The sequence below is a fragment of the Homo sapiens genome, chromosome 10, assembly GCF_000001405.40.
Source record: "Homo sapiens chromosome 10, GRCh38.p14 Primary Assembly".
Taxonomy (NCBI): Eukaryota; Metazoa; Chordata; class Mammalia; order Primates; family Hominidae; genus Homo; species Homo sapiens.
Window position 1 is genome coordinate 44,848,202 of NC_000010.11, and position 16,155 is coordinate 44,864,356.

A 16,155-nucleotide genomic window follows, 5' to 3' on the forward strand; every position below is an offset into this window, starting at 1 on the left:
CTAAAGTTACTCAAAACAACAACAAAAAAGACAGAGAGGGAGAGAGAGGGAGAAGTTAGACTATCCTGCCCCTTCTTAGATGGTTACAATTTCCTGTTCTAACCTAGTGTGCAGGTTCAACTGGGAGGTGAGTGAACTTTAGGGAGCAGGACTGGCAGAGCAGGGCTCCACGAAGCCAGGGCCTCACAGCACTGCCACACGCCATGGCCCGGGCCTGTGGCCTCCTTAGAGGTGGAAGGGGCTTGGAAGGCGGTAGTATCAAAGCTTGTACACAAGGATTATTTGACACTTCTTCTGTCCAAAAGTGGAGTCTACTCCCCCTCTCAACTATGGGCCAGTCTTAGTGACTTGCTCCTAACTAATAGAATGCATCACAAGTAGTTTGCAAGACTAGATCATAAAAGGTGATAGATGATGCACTTTCCATATGATGTTCTCCCGCCTCCCCTCCCTCTCCCTCTCACTCTCTCCATCAAGATCTCTCCCTCTCTATGGGGATGCTGGCACTGGGAACCCAGCCACCATCTTGTGAGGAAGCCAGATCACCCCTTGAAAAAGCCACACAGCCACACATAGGCATGAGGGAGACTTCAGATGACTGCAGCCCCAGCCCGTGACTGGGAGCTGCCCCAGATGGTGCCAAGTGGGACAGAGATGAGCCGCCTCTACCTGCATTGCAGATTCCCAAGCAAATTAAATGTTGTTATTGATCTCAGCTACCATGTTTTGGGGGAATGTTTTATTACATATTAGTCAATGACCTTACTAGAAAGCTTCTTGCTCAAGCTTTTTCTTGGTATTTGGAAACTGAGACCTCAGAGCTCAGGAAGAACAACACACAGTGAAGGCTGCTCTGAGGTGAGGTCGAGCTGCTGCTTAGACTCCAGCTTTTGGCCTCCCTTTTGGCCAACCTAGTGGTTGATTTTGAGTGTTAACTGGACTGGATTAAGGGATGCCCAGATAGCTGGTAAAGCATTATTTATTTTCAGTTGCTGCATTAATTATTCTCAATGCTTCAGTAGGCAGTTTAACATTTGATGAAAGTAACTGGGTTGCCCCAGGTGTGTCTGTGAGTTTATTTATAGAGGAGATTGGTGTGTGAGTCAGTGGACCCAGTGGGAAAGAACCACCCTCAATGTGGGTGGGCACCATCAAATCAGCTGGGGGCCCAGACGGAACAAAAGGTGGAGGAAAGGGAATTCCTTGCTCATTCACTCTCTGCTGAAGTTGGGACACCCTTTTTCTCCTGCCTTGGACATCTTAACTCCAGTTTCTCCAGGCTTTGGACTCCGGGACTCACCCCAACTGCCCCTACACCCTGACTCTATGTTCTCAAGCCTCTGGCCTCAAGCTGAGCCATCAACTCCTCAGGTTTTGAGGCTTTGAGACTTGGACTGAGCCAAGCTGCCAGCTTCCCTGGGCCTCCAGCTTGTAGACAACCTGCCATGTGACTTAGCCTTTATAATCATATGAGCCAATTCCGCTAATGAACTCTTCATATCTCTCTCTCTCTCTCTATTGCATATAGATTATATATGTATATATAAATACATATATATAAATACATCATATATATATATACATATATATATATATATCAGTCCTATCTCTGAAGAACCCTGACTAAAACACCAGCCTGTGCCCCTCCCTCTGTCCCACAGGTGGACACATGGACTGTGTTTGCCACCTGAGTACTCCCAGCAGAGAGGGGAAAAGGAAGCAGCCCCATCCCACTGGGTGCTCCCCCACCAAAACAATCTTTATCTTCTCATGCAGATGTCAGTCCCTGGGCTGGGTTGCTCCCCACACCCAGGATCCTGGGAATGGTACGTCTTGCATGTCACCTGCTCCTGTTTGTATGAAAGAGCCTGGACACCAGGCAGGGGTTGGGGGGACAACTACAATGCCCTTTGCAGGGCTCTACACACTGAGGCTGCAGCCCCACACAGAGGTGGGGAGAGCAAAGCTGTTCCCAGCCCTGGCGTAGCTGCCTGGACACACCAAGGGCCTTGTCTGAAGTCTGGGTAGCCCAGATCCTGGAGTTAACAGGAGAAACATGAGAGCAGCCTCTTTCACAGGCTCTCCTCCAGTCATAAATGTGCCATCCAGTTCCCCACAAATAAAGCACAGGCCATCTTACAGAGAACTTGTCATCAGAAGAAAGAAGTGCCGGACTCCTTGCTGGGCTCTGGGGAGCTCACTGCTGGGATGGATGGAGTAGAGTCTGCAGGCAGCAGCCTCACAAAGCCCAGAGGCAGGGTCACTAAGAGCCAGGAGAAAGGCCCCAGGCCCTGTGATGACTCCCATTCTTTAACGCATGTGCTTCATTGTGCATCTTGGATGGCAGCCCTGGCATCCAACAAGATCCAATCAGTCAGTAAAAACGTGCTCAGCAATTTCCGGGAGCCCAGGTGACTCTGGAATGCCTCGAGGAAATGAGACCCTTCCCCTGCAGTTCCTACCAAAGGAAAAAAAATCTGAACACATTGTGCAATGGGAGCTGAGGGCATGCTGCCCAGGTGGGGCAGGAAAATGACAGGAAGGCACAGAGGTGGGAGGAGAGGCAGGCCCGAAGGTGGAGCCTCAGGAGCTCAGTGAGAAGTTGTTGAGCTTCCTCAGTTAGCCCTGGTCTGGACCCACTGTTCTCCCACAGGCCCGATGCTCTTCCCCTGAAAAGACGATCCCCAGATCTGATCCCACCACCTTTCCAGCACCCACCCTCTCTGTCCTGCTGCACCATCCATGCACCTCCAGGTCAGAACAACTTAGAGCGAGGCACAGGCACCCTCTTCTGGACACCCCTGCGAGCACCCACCACCCACCCCAGCTCCTTCTCACCCTAAGTGCACCTCCCCATCACCCTTACTTCATGAAACTTCTGAATCTGTCTCCCACTCTGTGGTGGGATTTCAGGTCTAGCACAGAATAAGTTCTTCATAATCTCTGGGTGACAGGAGGCTCAGAGACCCATGGGAAGCTCCCGTTTGATAAAGTAAGACAGACCCACAGTCCTTTTCCGTGCAGGGCTCTATCAACATAATCAGGCTGTAAGTGAAGGCCACACACAAATGCTGTTGAGCCCAACAGAGGGAAAGAACACGTCTTAGGAGGCTTCAGGAAGACTTTCTGGAGGAAGGGGCATGGGGCACATTCCCTGCAGAATCTAGAAGATTGGAAGGGTTGAAAAACAAGAAGTGGAGAGGAGAGGAGGTTGCTAATCTAGGCAAATCAGTTCTAAGCAAGATAAGGTAGTGAGAGACCGAATGACATAATTCAATCAGGGAAGAGCGCACTGCCCCCGGATGGGAAGAGAGGATTCTTGTCTGCCGCAGTGGGCTGGGGCTGCCATAACAAAGTACCACGGACTGGGCGGCCTAAGCAACAGAATTGCATCTGCTCCCAGTCTGTAGGCTGGAAGTCTGAGATCAGGGTGTCGGCAGGGCTGGCTTCGACCGAGGCCTCGCTACTTGGCTTGCAGATGCCATCTTCTCCCTGTGTCTTCAATGGTTTTCCTGTGTGCATGTCTGTGTCCTTATCTCCTCTTCTTACAAGGCCATGAGTCCTGTTGAATTAAGGCCCACCCTAATGGCCTCATTTTAGCTTAATTAACCTCTTAAAGATCTCATCTCCAAATACAGCCACATTCTGAGGTGTTAGGGATTAAGGCTTCAACATAGGAATTTGGGGGGCACACAATGCCCCCCATACCAATGCTGTCATGATGCCCCCGCACAGTGGGCCAAGGTGGATGGTAGGGGCCTGGAGAAGGGGCCACCCAGGGCAGGGAGAATGCAGCCGGGCCCAGGATGGGCCCAGGATGGCACACATGAAAAGCAGGCACAGGAGGGTGAGGCAGTGCCTCTGAGCAGCCCTGAGCCCCAGGCACACCAGCAGGGCCGGAGTACAGGGAAGGCTAGGAAGCATGTCCTGGGCCCAGCCTCGCATCCCACTCCTGCCGTGACCGCCAGCGTGGGGGAGGCTGACTCCGCCCAGGAGAGCTGCACCTTGTCTCTAGTTGGGCTCCCCAGAAGCAGACTCTGAGATGAGGACCCACACACAACTGAATCACTAAAGATGTGCTTCCCAAAGACAAGTAGGGGCCTGGGTGAGGAGAGGAGGAAGACAGCTGGGTTGTGGCCTTGGACCAAGGGCCCTGTCTCCCACAGGCACAGACAGGGAAGGGGGTGCAAAATCCCCCAGGCACTTCTGCTCCTTGCAGGTAAAGCAGCTCCTATAACCCAGGAATCCTGCAAGGACCAGCCCAGGCCCCAGTGCCAGCACTGCCCTCAAGTGAGAGTGGGAGGGAAACAATAAGGAGAGATCTGAGGGGATCTCAGCCAAGCACCGAGATGATCTGAGACACACTTAAAGAGAGGCTATACCTGCATGGGTGCTTTCAGCAGCATAAAGCGAAAACGCAACCACAATGGCTTACACCACATGGACATTGATTAGTTTACAGAATAAGAAATCCGAGCTATGGTGGCTATGAGGTTGGCTCAAAGATGTCTTGAACAATTCAAGTTCGTTCCACTTCTTTGCATTAATCCTCCCAGCCTATTGACTTCATCCTTAAACTTGTTGCTTCATGATTATAAAACAGTTGCCACAGTCCCAGGCATCACAGGCAGACATGAAGAGATTCAGCCAAAGCAGAAATGGGAGTTCTCACCCACACCCTTTTGAGAACATTCCAGGTAAACATCCCATCAAGCCTCAATAACCAAGTTAATGTACCTGCCCCTTAGTAAAGCAATCACTAGCCACAAAAACTGAATGACCATGATTATTAGGCTGGGGTTAGCCCTTGAGCCTTCAGCCTTGGAGGGGCCCAGCATATATATATATATATATCAGCTAACAAGATGGGGGAGGGAATGGCCTTGGGCAGGATCTACCATAGAGGTAGTACCTTAAGCCAAAGAAAAGCAACTGCTCTGCTGAAATTCTCAACATCTGTGGACCTGGAGGTGAATTTTTTATGGTCTTCAGGCCTTCCTTGTGATCCTGAACCAGCACTATGCATTTCTTTGGCAGCCTCTGCTTCCTTGCCAGGCCCATTCAGCCTAGGCTCACAGACCTTCTCTGTCCCCACCTTCACTCCCTGTGCACACGGTGCCCTCTCCTGCACAGCAGTTGCCAAAGCCTGGCACATCAGCTCATGGTGCCTCTAGTGTCCACACACACTGTAGCAAGCACACATCCAGCCCCATTTTCCCAGCTTTGTACCTCATGTCAGCACCTCACCCAGAGCCAGGGGGTGGGGTTAGGTGGGGACCAGAGGGGCCCAGGGAGCTGGACAGCCTGCCCCAGCCATTCCCACACTCCATGCATGGCCTCTGCCACCTGATCTTTTCAAAGCAGCTTGTAAAGAGTGAAGAGGAGTTGGGGGTTCCCTGGAGATGCCTCCTCTGGCAGCACAAAGGGTTTCTGAAGACTCCAGCTGGAGGACAGCATGGGCTGGCAAGAGGCTGTCTAATGCTTTCCCCAGCCCCTTCCTCAGCTGGGGTTTCTGATTCATAGCATTGGACCTGCTCTCTGACTCCTCTCCTCATGGCTCCAGGAGGGCCCCTGGCATCAGTGTGCCCCTGAGCACTAGACTCTCCCCTCCAAAGGCAGTGAGGGCACCGCCCAGTTCTCCCCAGGAGCTGGCATCAAGTTAAGGTGGCAGCTTCCCACGGCACCCTAAGAAAGTCCACAGTCACCAAGTGTTGAGGGCTGGCCTCATGGGGGTGGTGGGACAGGGTGTCCTGGGGCTGGACTTGGCCAATTTAAGGCTTGCTGCCCACTCTGGGTCTTTGGACGAGCTCTTCCCCAGGGCCAGCGGAAGCCCCGTGAAGGAACACAGTTTTGCTCTGCTGTGCACTGCTGCCTGCTGCTCAGGTCCCTAACATCAGGACTCCCACCTCCTCTGCATGCCCACTGCCTCTCTGTGGTTTGCTGTCAGCTCAGACCAGGGGACAGAGAGCAACCGTCTTTCCATTATGTCAAGCTTTGCACTGGCTCAGTACATCTGGGCAGCCAGCTGGCTGTGCTTCCAGGGCTGCAGCACTTCAGGTAAGCTCTCTGCGCAGCTCAAATGCCCAACTCTCCGTGAAATTTTTGCCTTTTTAATTTAAATCCTTGCTTTGTCACTTAAACTTAATGGCACTGTGATAGCAGGCAGGGGTGGGGAGGGGCAGCCTGGACAGAGCACCGAGGTGGCTCAAGTCATTCATTCCTGAGTTTACTTCTAGGTGTCCTGGGACTCACAGCAACCCACAGAGCTGGGAGAGGCATGAGACCCTGCTAACAGATAAGGAAGTCAAAGTCAGAAAAGAGAGACCACTTGTTTAAGTCTCATACCAAAGTGAAAGACTTCTCCAGTTAAATCATATGACTCCAAAGTTGGATTTTATCAGGCTTGGTGTACCCACCTGGAGAGTAAGAGAATAAAGGTGGTTTCTTTTAAAATGCTTTTGTGCAATCTCTCTCTCTCTCTTTCTCTCTCCATTTCTCTCCTTGAATCTAAATGCTACAGCTGAAAGCACAGAACTCTTCCCCAGTCTACCCCTTCCCTCCCTCCAGTGTGGATCCTGCAGGAAAGCCAAGATCTACAGACAGGAATCTCCTGTGGAGGGAGAGAGCAGGTCCCGGTGGCCCCAGGAGTCCACCTGCTTTGGGAAACTTTCCTGTGTCACTCAGGGCATCCACCCAGAAAAGGCGGGAGAGGGAGCTGGAGCCGGGTCACCAGCAGCCACCTGCCCAGAATGAGGAGGGTGACCAGAAACCAGGAGTTCTGGGCCTGAGGGTACAGAAAATAGGAAGGAGCTGCTCAGCTCCCCACCCATGGGGGCCTGCAGGAGGGGAGAAGAGGGAGAGAGGGCCAGAGCCCCCAGCGCTGCAGCTGCCGCCACAATAGAGGCATTGAAGCTGGTGCGGCAGAAGCGTGCAGGGGCTGGAAGAGGAGTGCAGAGGGGAGGGGCTGCCAGGAGAGCCCCAGATGAGAGGGTCTGACGTCCTCCTGACCTTTAAGTCTGGCCTCAGTGCCAAGAAGGAGGGCAGACTGGACCGCAAACAGCCCCCTGGGCTCATGCCTGCATCTCATTATCTGCCCTGCCCCCAGAGGCATCAAATGCCTGGTTGTTCTCAGATTCCCCACCCTGCTGCCTGTCGCATCCTTTGCTGAAAGATGTGCTGTAGGCGCCATGAAAGAAGGGACAGGGCCTGAGCAGAGGCCCCACTCCATGCTTGCTCCTATACTCTTCCTCACTCCCCGGGTCCCCTGGTAAGCAGATGTCTCTGGAGGCTGGAGACCTGGATCCTATCCTTTCCTCTCCCTGATGGGGTAATGGGGCTTGCTCCAGGGAGAGGAAAGGAGAGGACCCAGGTATCCCTAGGGAGAGGCCTAGAGAGGACCTCATCCAGCACTGGGCTTTGTTGTGAGTCCCCAGTGTGGTTCCCATGCGTTTACACCAGTCTCGGCCCTGGCTCTGCATCTCACTTGCTGTGGGCCCCCAGAAGTTCCTTTGCCCTCAGACCTACAAACTATCTCTTGTACAACAAGGAGGTTGAAACACAGGATCCCAGGACCAGTATGTAATCCATTGAGTTGATTTTGCCATTGGTTGAACAGATACTCTGGCGGGAGCAGGTTACACTTTTAGCTTCTTAAACATCTCTCAAATCTGTTCACTCTTTCCATCTCCACCCTCACTGCCTTATTCCTGTGTGCCACCATCCTTGCCTGGACCAATATTCTCCAGGCCTCCAGATCTGGAAGCCTCCATCCAACTCATCTACTTAATAGTGAAATGCAAACCTGATTGTATTACTCGCCTCCTAAAATCCCTTCAAACACTTCACATTGCTTTTGAGCTAAAGATGCAAATCCTTCACATAGCCCAGAAGGCCTTACATGGCCCAGCCTCACCTCTCAGCCTCCTATTCCCTTCTTTGCTTCCCTGCTCTCCATCAGACAACAAAGGGCAAGGTTGGGAGCCATGTCTTGTTCTGTTCATCAAGCTGTCTCCAGCGTGTGGTGTCATTCCAGGTTCAGCCAGCAGAATTAAGTGGACAAATGAATGATGAACACCAAAGATGGCAATTATCTCTCACAGAGATGAAGAGAACAAGCCCCCTTGCCCAAAGTGCCTTGTCACGTTGATGCCCGATGTTCCACCATCAGAAGTCAAAACTAGATCCCTCCCACGTCCCTTCAAACTCTACAGAGCCTTTGTTGCGAGAGATCCAATGTATATTTATAAGACATGCAACCCATGCTGACACCATGAGGCAGCTTCCTTTCACTGATTGCCTGTAATGTGACAAGCACTTTGCATTTGCGGCAGACCTCCTGGATGGGCCTGTGCTCTCATTCAGATGCACAGAATTAGGCAATCCTCCTGTTCAACCTTCCATGCAATGACCAGTATGGAACCAGGAGCTGCCTGAGGAAAACAGGAACCATGTGTTTTTCTGTCTGGAGATAAACCAGATTCCAAGGGGACACAGGTGCCCTGGGAAAGATGTTAATGAATGAAGTTTCTCAGGCCAAGAGCTAGTCAGCAGCATATGTATGTGCAAGGGGTCAGTGGTGCTACAGCATCTATAGGGTTGGTTCTGCAAGAGGCCTCCTTCCCCAAGCCTGCACCAGCCGTGGGCATTATCAGGAGGCCACACGTTCTTTTGTGGCCCCGTGAAAGAACAGTTCTGCGGCCAAACATTTACAGTCATTGTCATATTTTCCAAGGCAAGGCCATGGGGGCTCAAGTCAGCACCAGCTCTGGGGAGGAAGAGATAAGCTGAGGCTGAAGAACCAAAGTCAGAAGGAGAGGAACCAGCACACGAGGAAGGTGAGGAATGGTATCTTCTGAGAGGTGTGGCCGACCTGGGAGGCATTACGGGACCAGGTGCACCCTTGAGCCACCAGAGGCATGACAGTGGGCCTGACTAGAGCCCCCAGCTGCAGGGGTCAGCTGGGATGTCCCCAGGCCTGGGCACTGAAACACACCAGGGTGAACATTTGCAGGAAAAATAAATCCATGAATGAACTGAGCTACTCTCATCTTGAAGCTACTTGTGTTCTCTTGTGCAGCCATTTTTTCCATTTGAAACCCACCTCCCTCACCTACCCCATCCTACGGCTGTTCTAGAAGAGTGAGCAGGTATACCGACACCTCACACAGGGCTTGCACGCTGCAGGTGATCAGGAAATGCTCATTCCCTCCCTGCCTCTTTTGGGTTCTCAGGCACAGTTTACCCCTGTCAAATTCCCATTAGACTAGATGCTCTGCCCAGCCCTTTCAATGCTGACGTTTCACACATCTTGTAAGAAAGCCCTTGGGTCTGGCCAGGCCCGGGTGTGGACAGGGATGCTCACATTGAGCCTGTGGACACAGAAGAGTCTTTATTCGGGCAGACTCTTGAGCCCTTGTTCTGACTGAGCCTATTGGTGCATTTGAGGGGGGTTGGGGGGAGTGAGGATTTAAAAAAAAAAAAAAAGGTCTTGAGGGATGCTGGGGAAGGAAGAGAAGCCAAGTGTCTGGATGGTGTGACCCCAGACTGCAACGCTAGAATGACTCTCAAAACATTCTCCTTTATCAAGGAAACAAGAATGTGAGTCACTCTCTTCCCGCACCCCAGGGGTTTCTTTGCTGAGCAGGGCTGCAAACTGTTCAGCTAATTAGGCTGCATCCTGACCTTAGCCTCCATCCGCAGCAGGCCTCCCTTGAGGGGAGCCGAGGTGCTGCTGCCACCTAGGGTCAGGAGAGTGCACTGCAGGGGGACCGCAGGGCCAGGAAGGAAAAGTCAGGACCCTGAATAAAAGGGCAAGTGGTCCCAGCATGGTTCCGTTTACAAAGAACTTCCCATCTACCACTGCTGGGCTCTTAAAAGAATCCCATGAATTCAGCAGGGCAAGGTTTTACTATCTTCTCTTTACATATAAAGACGCTAGTGATTGCATGGCTGAGGACGGGGGTCTGGGACATTACGAACTCTGCGGCAGAGGTTATGGGTAGACTGTGGGAATTCTTCATGAGGGTTTTTAAAAGCTATTGCTGGTGTAAGTTGGTCTGTAAACATCCTTAGGAAGAATTGGAGAGCAAATGAGTCATGGGGTCCTGATAACTGCACTGAGCTTCACTAAAGGCCACAGGGTCAAGGGCTTAAGAGACAGAGTGAGGGCCACTGGGTCTCTTAGCCCATCATCAGGGCCCCCATTGTCTGCCGGAAGATGCCAGCAAACCCACCATCCTCGAGGTGCTGGCCAGCCCAGCTAACAGTCAAAAAGGAGGAGGATGGTGATAGATAGAAATGTTATTTTGTGTATTTATTTCATCACAACCTCAGGTACATGACTGCTATGGGCTGAATGTTTGCATCCTCCTGGAGTAGGCATGTTGAAGCCTAACCACGATGTGATGGTATTTGGAGGTGAGGACTCCAGGAGGTGATGAGGTCATGTGCCTGGAGCTCTCATGATGGGATTAGTGCTCCTATAAGAGACCTGAGGGCCAGGTGTGGTGGCTCACGCCTGTAATCCCAGCACTTTGTGGGGCCAAGGCAGGTGGATCAGGAGGTCAGGAGATCAAGACCATCCTGGCTAACATGGTGAAACCACATCTCTACTAAATATACAAAAATTAGCCGGGCGTGGTGGCACAAGCCTGTAGTCCCAGCTAGTCGGGAGGCTGAAGCAGAAGAATCACTTGAACCCAGGAGGCAGAGGTTGCAGTGAACCAAGATCACACCACTGCATTCCAGCCTGGGTGACAGAGCAAGATTCTTGTCTCAAAAAAAAAAAAAAAAAAAAAAAAGAGAGAGAGAGACCTGAGCTAGCTTGCTCCCTACCTCCCTGCTCTCCCTTATGTGAGACCACAGCAAGGTGCCATCCCAAACCTGAAAAGGGCCCCCTACATACCACATCTCCCAGTGCCTTGATCCTGGACTTCCCAGCTCCAGAACTCTGAGAAGTAAATGTCTGCTGTTTAAGCTTCCCAGCCTAGGGTGTATTTGTTACAGCAACTCAAGCTGACTGAGACAGTGACTCACCCTCTAGCCTGTTCTGCAAGAAGGAGAATCAGGAGTTATGTAGCAGGAACACAAGGGAATAAAATCCTCAATATTCAGTTCTTCAACTTCCAAGCTGGGTCTTGAAATTCAAATATTAAACAACAGAGAGAAAAGTCAAAACTTGGAATTTACCAGAGCCAAGTTGTGGTAAAACAATTTGGAATTCTAAAGGTAAAGCCCCAGGGAAGTGGGGACTACTTTTTCTTTCACAGATTAGAAAGAGAAAAGAGGGTTGGGGAGAAGAGATGAGTGTCAGTTGCTAGAACTGGGAGAAGTGGGGAGGCTGGGGCCTGAGGCCACGCAGAGAGAAGGGTCGTCACTGAAGGACTCCCCAGGCCCTTCCATCCCAGCGCCCTGAGCCACTAAATCAATCGCCTTTTGTGAGTGGCCTTGCAGGTCTCCTGTGTGGGAAGCCAAGTGAGCTGAGGCTGTCACAGCCATCAAGTGAGGTCCACGCAGACATCGTTCTCTGTGTGCTGCACAGGGACCAACCCGCAGATGTGACTCCCCCCAGTACCCATCCACACAATGCCATCTACCAAGCACCACTTCCAACTCTCACAGATGCCTTGGGACAGAGGCTGCTGTCTCTAACACCTAGAGGGACTGTTCTTGCAGTGTCTGTGTCGCAGGTACTGGACAACTTAACATGAGTGTGACTTAGTCCCATCACTGTCATCACCATACTTCGTTTTATGGGTGAGCAACAAGACCCTAACCTTCGTGACTTCCACTTGGTATGGAGCTTAGAGGAAAGTGACAGGGATGAAGGTCTCTCCTGTCCAGCCCCACCATCTTCAGGAATTGGGGGCTTTCCCTCTAGCCCGCCTTTGCCCCTCTAAGTGATTGACACACTGCACTTGCCTTCCCATCCAGGGGACCCCGCTGGGCCAGGTGCCATTGTCTGCTGTGACCCTCCCCGTGTGTGTGTGTGTATGTGTGTGTGTGTGTGTGCAGGGTGTGTGTGTGTGTGTGAGCATGTAGCTGTAAATAGTACTTTCCTGATTTAAAAATGCCAGGAAAATCCCAAAACACAGAGATTTAATGTCCGTTTATTCCCTTGGGGCAATGTTGCCTCCACTAAAATGGTAAAGAAAAAAATGAATGATAGAAAGAACTCATTGTGTCAGAGGGGTACTCGCATGTTTGCATTTTTACCCTCTATTCTTTGCCACAGTAGGAACTTGCTTTTTTCTGAGTGTACACACAAACACACACACACACACACACACACACACATACTCAGTGCTGTACTAGGCTCCTGCTGACTGTCCTATCATAGTGTTTCCTACAGAACCATCTCACGTCTCTCTGGGCTGATTGTCTTCTACAATCAATAAATGGTTCAAAGACTCACAAATTCTGTAGATGGGCCTTTGAAGAGGGCTGCACAGTCTCCCAGCTGACCTCAGGATGAGCTTCAGGCCATGTGAATGAGAAAGTGCACAGAGGCCCCTGCAGGGACCCTGGTGCCTGACGCTTCCCCCAGAGCCAGGCTGCCCAGGTCCCAGCCTTGTAGCTCACAAGCTGTGCGACCTTGGGCAGGTGCCTTTCTCTTTCTGAATCTCAGTTTCTTCCTTGGTAACTGGAGATGATATTAAATAGCACCTGCCTCCTAGAGTTGGCGTGGGATTAAACAGTTAGAACCAGAACAGTGTTTACAGCAGCACCTTTGGTATAGCAGGGCAGGAGCTCCAGATCTTGGTCCTGAAGGCTCAGGCCCTGGGGCCTGGAGACTAAAGCAGCATTCAGAGCTTTATGACCACAAGTAGCTACGCTCCCGCCTGAGCCTGTTGTCTGGGCCTTTGGTGTCTCTGTGGTTATGTCCCTCGGTCCTGATTCCTTTTTTAGGTTTCCAAGAGGAAGCTTCTTGTTGAGCCTGTGAACCCTGACCTTGGACCCCTGCTCATCTGGCCCACCCGGACGCCACGCCTGCTCTGTTTGGGGGTTCTCTCCCATCCCCACCCTTGCTTGGCAGCTGCTCCCATCAGACAGGTCCTCCTGTTCATCCCCAGACTGGGAGTGCAAACCCTGCTCAGGGCTCCTGTGGCCACAGGCACCCCCAAGGCAGAGAAGGAAGCCAGGAAGGAGAAGGCTCTGCAAACTCCTGGAAACAGTTAAGAGATGAAGAAAATTACACCACTTGAACTCTACTGGCCAGAGTCCTGGGAAAGGCAAACTCTCCTTGGGCCAAAGTGGAGGGAACCACCCCACCCCTCCACAGGCATCATGAACATGGCCCATTGGAATGCGCTGAGATTCACAATGACTTGATAAGGATCTGGGGGCTGAAAGCTCAGCAGGATGACTCTGAGCTGGACCCAGCCCCACCCTGGCGGTCCCTGCCACACAGCAGTCAGTTTGGAGCCACGTGGCTGCCATTCCTGGTGACTTCCCAAAGCTACTGCAACTTTTTAAAAAGATAAGCACATTTCCATGGTGTTTTTAACATCCTTTAATGGTTTTCAGCTTTCTTTTCAATATATAATTACTGAAAAAATCACTATGAATAATAACCAGAAACCACCAAAACCTACATGCAAAGTAGTATGCTAAAAACTTTACTCATTATCTTGTCTAATGTTTCATAATCTGCATGAAGCAGGTAGTACTGTCATCCCCACTTTACAGAGGAGGAAACTGAGGCCTAGAAACAGGCACACAGCCAGTAAGTGGCAGAGGCAAGACAGGAGCCCAGCTCCTTCTCCACCAACTATTTTGCTGGATCATCGTCATCATCAGCATTTTCTGGTGCCTGCTACACCATCCTCTGCTTCTCAGGGACATGTCTGAAGCCACAGAATCACTGTCCCTGCCGGAGGCCAGATTAGATTCAGCCCGTGCGTAGCTCACATTCTAGGGTGTCAGAGGGAGTGTCTTTCTCCGTCCTGCAGCCACAGCCATCAGCAGCACTCTCTCTCTGGCCTCCCAGGGCTTCCTCTAAGAAGCCCCCACGGGCACTGCAGGTGGCTGGCCTCCAGGAGCACACAGCTCTCGGAGTTCCAGGTGTTCCCCTGAGAGCAACCTGCTTGGGCACTGCAGGCTGCTGGGGTTGCCGGTGATGACTTCCTTTCCATTTCTGTTCTCGATGTCGTGAGGCAGTCTTCCTGATCTCTGCTCCCCAACTCCCTCCCATGGTTGAGAAGGCCCTGGCTCTCCATATTAAATCTCTCTCTACTTGAAATAGCTGGAGCACTTCTGCTTTCCCACGAACCCTGACCAAAGCCTCCCAGCCCCAGCTACAGCTGACAGGCTCAAGAGCACCACAGGCTCTCAAGGCTGGCCTGGCTCCTCCACACACAACCCCTGCAGATCTCTACTCACTCCAGACTCCCCCTGCCTCTGGCCAAGGCCCTGCCTTCCTGCCTTCAAGCTGGGCGCCCATTTCTCCAGGAAGGCTTTTGTGACCGGGCTTCATGTCCCTTGCACCCTGTGTATTGATCTTCCTGCTTGATGCCAAGCCCTATGAACACAGCAATTCTATCTGGCTTTGTACACTATTGTACCCAGCACAGGGTCTAAAAATACTTTTTGCATAAATGAATGAGTAAATGAAAAATTATTGAGTAGTCTTTGAGATCCTGATGCCATGAGTATAGAGAAAGAGAATATATGCATCTTAAATCCATTAAAGTTTGATTTAAAATGCACATTGGCACTGGCTGAAAGCTGGGTGGGCTCCATGGGGTACAAAGACAAGCCCACCAGGAGCCGAGAGTTGAGGAGTATGAACAGGCACAGGTCTCCGTGCAGCTGCAGTATGTTACAGCTTCTGGTGACTTCTGCCACCCTTTGTCCCTCTAGGGTCTGTGTTCCTGCCAAGAGAAAAGGCAGTGGCAGGAAGGAGGCTGCTCCAGATGTCAGAAAGGCTTAGCGAATGGTTTACTGTAGTTCACGAAATTTCTACAAGAGTAACCAATTGGCATCAGCTCCCTGAGCTGCCTGCTTAGAGAAGGAGCTTATGGCACTAAACCATTTTTGTATATTCCATCAAGATCTAGGAAAGCAGATTTCCTTTTTCAAAAAGCAGAGAAACTGTCCCACCCTGCAGTCATTGTGAGTGCAGAGGGACGGGGAGCCAGCGATCCATGAATTGCCAAGCCAGATTGCAGCTATAACCAGATTTTAGTTTGTGAAGGTCTTTTACAGACCTTTTTATACCCTATCCAGTGAGTATGAGTTAGGCTGGAGAGCAAAGGAATTGGAGCTTTTCCACACCACACACGGTTTGCGGTTGGCCCCCACCAGGTGGCTCCCCTGGCGGAGGACTCTGCGCTGCCTGCACCTGAGCGTAGCTGGGGCTTGCGGTGTGCGTCAAAGTGGCTGCGGAGTTCTTGTCTATAGAAACTGTTCAAAGTAACCACCTGAATTACTCCTACCATACTCTTTCTTTGACCTTTTATTTCTTTTAAGCATAACGTCAGCACTGATTTGAAATCATCAAGTAACTTCAACCAACGTAAAAATCCTGAGTTGCTTAAAAAGGAAAGAAAGGCTGCCCCCAAAGTGACAGGCTTTCTAACTTGCCTGTGTCTTTGCACCTATTTCCCTAGGACGCGGGAACGCCCCTTTCCCACACCCACTTCATTCTCCTCCCTGTGCCTCACGTTCTGGGAACATCCTCCTCTTGACTGCATTTCTTAGCCTCCCCGGGCTAGGGAAAGTGTGGTCTCCCTTTCAGCAACCTCAGTTCCATATACATTTCTTTCTCTCAGAATGTCTGATGCTATACTGCATTTATTGGTTTTCTTGTTTCTCTCCCTAGTAAACAGGACATTTTTTGAAGTCCTGCTGGCACATATGCAGTCCTCACACAACGCCTGGTGGATGATTGATTCATTTTAAGAGAGCAGATGAGCTAGGCTGTCTACAAATGTGTCGGATCCAGCTCCCGCCATCCTTCCTTCGCAAAGCAGAGCTTGCCAAGCCTGCGCACCCACGGGCTGCCTCTCTTCAAAGGGCGGAGCCTGTGCAGTGAGCGTTTGGCCACCTGGTCGCACACCGAGTGCTCGTCAGCGCGCATGGCCTGAGCGTTCTGCCCTGACACTCGCTGGCCTCTGGGCGCTTCTGTCTTTGACAACGTCCTGAACACTGTGGGAA

General features: G+C 51.4%; 1 long non-coding RNA gene across 1 annotated transcript in view, besides 1 other annotated feature; it reads right to left on the minus strand.

The window, feature by feature from the left end:
* Positions 1-16,155, minus strand: part of TMEM72-AS1 (TMEM72 antisense RNA 1) — a 148,666-nt gene that overhangs the window by 37,178 nt on the left and 95,333 nt on the right. The window lies entirely within an intron of this gene.
* Positions 5,307-5,807: an enhancer, noted in NCBI's record as "H3K4me1 hESC enhancer chr10:45348956-45349456 (GRCh37/hg19 assembly coordinates)". NCBI's record gives its function as "activates a minimal SCP1, AML or CMV promoter by ChIP-STARR-seq in naive H9 embryonic stem cells {active_cell/tissue: H9 hESC(naive)}" and the evidence as "EXISTENCE:reporter gene assay evidence [ECO:0000049][PMID:30033119]".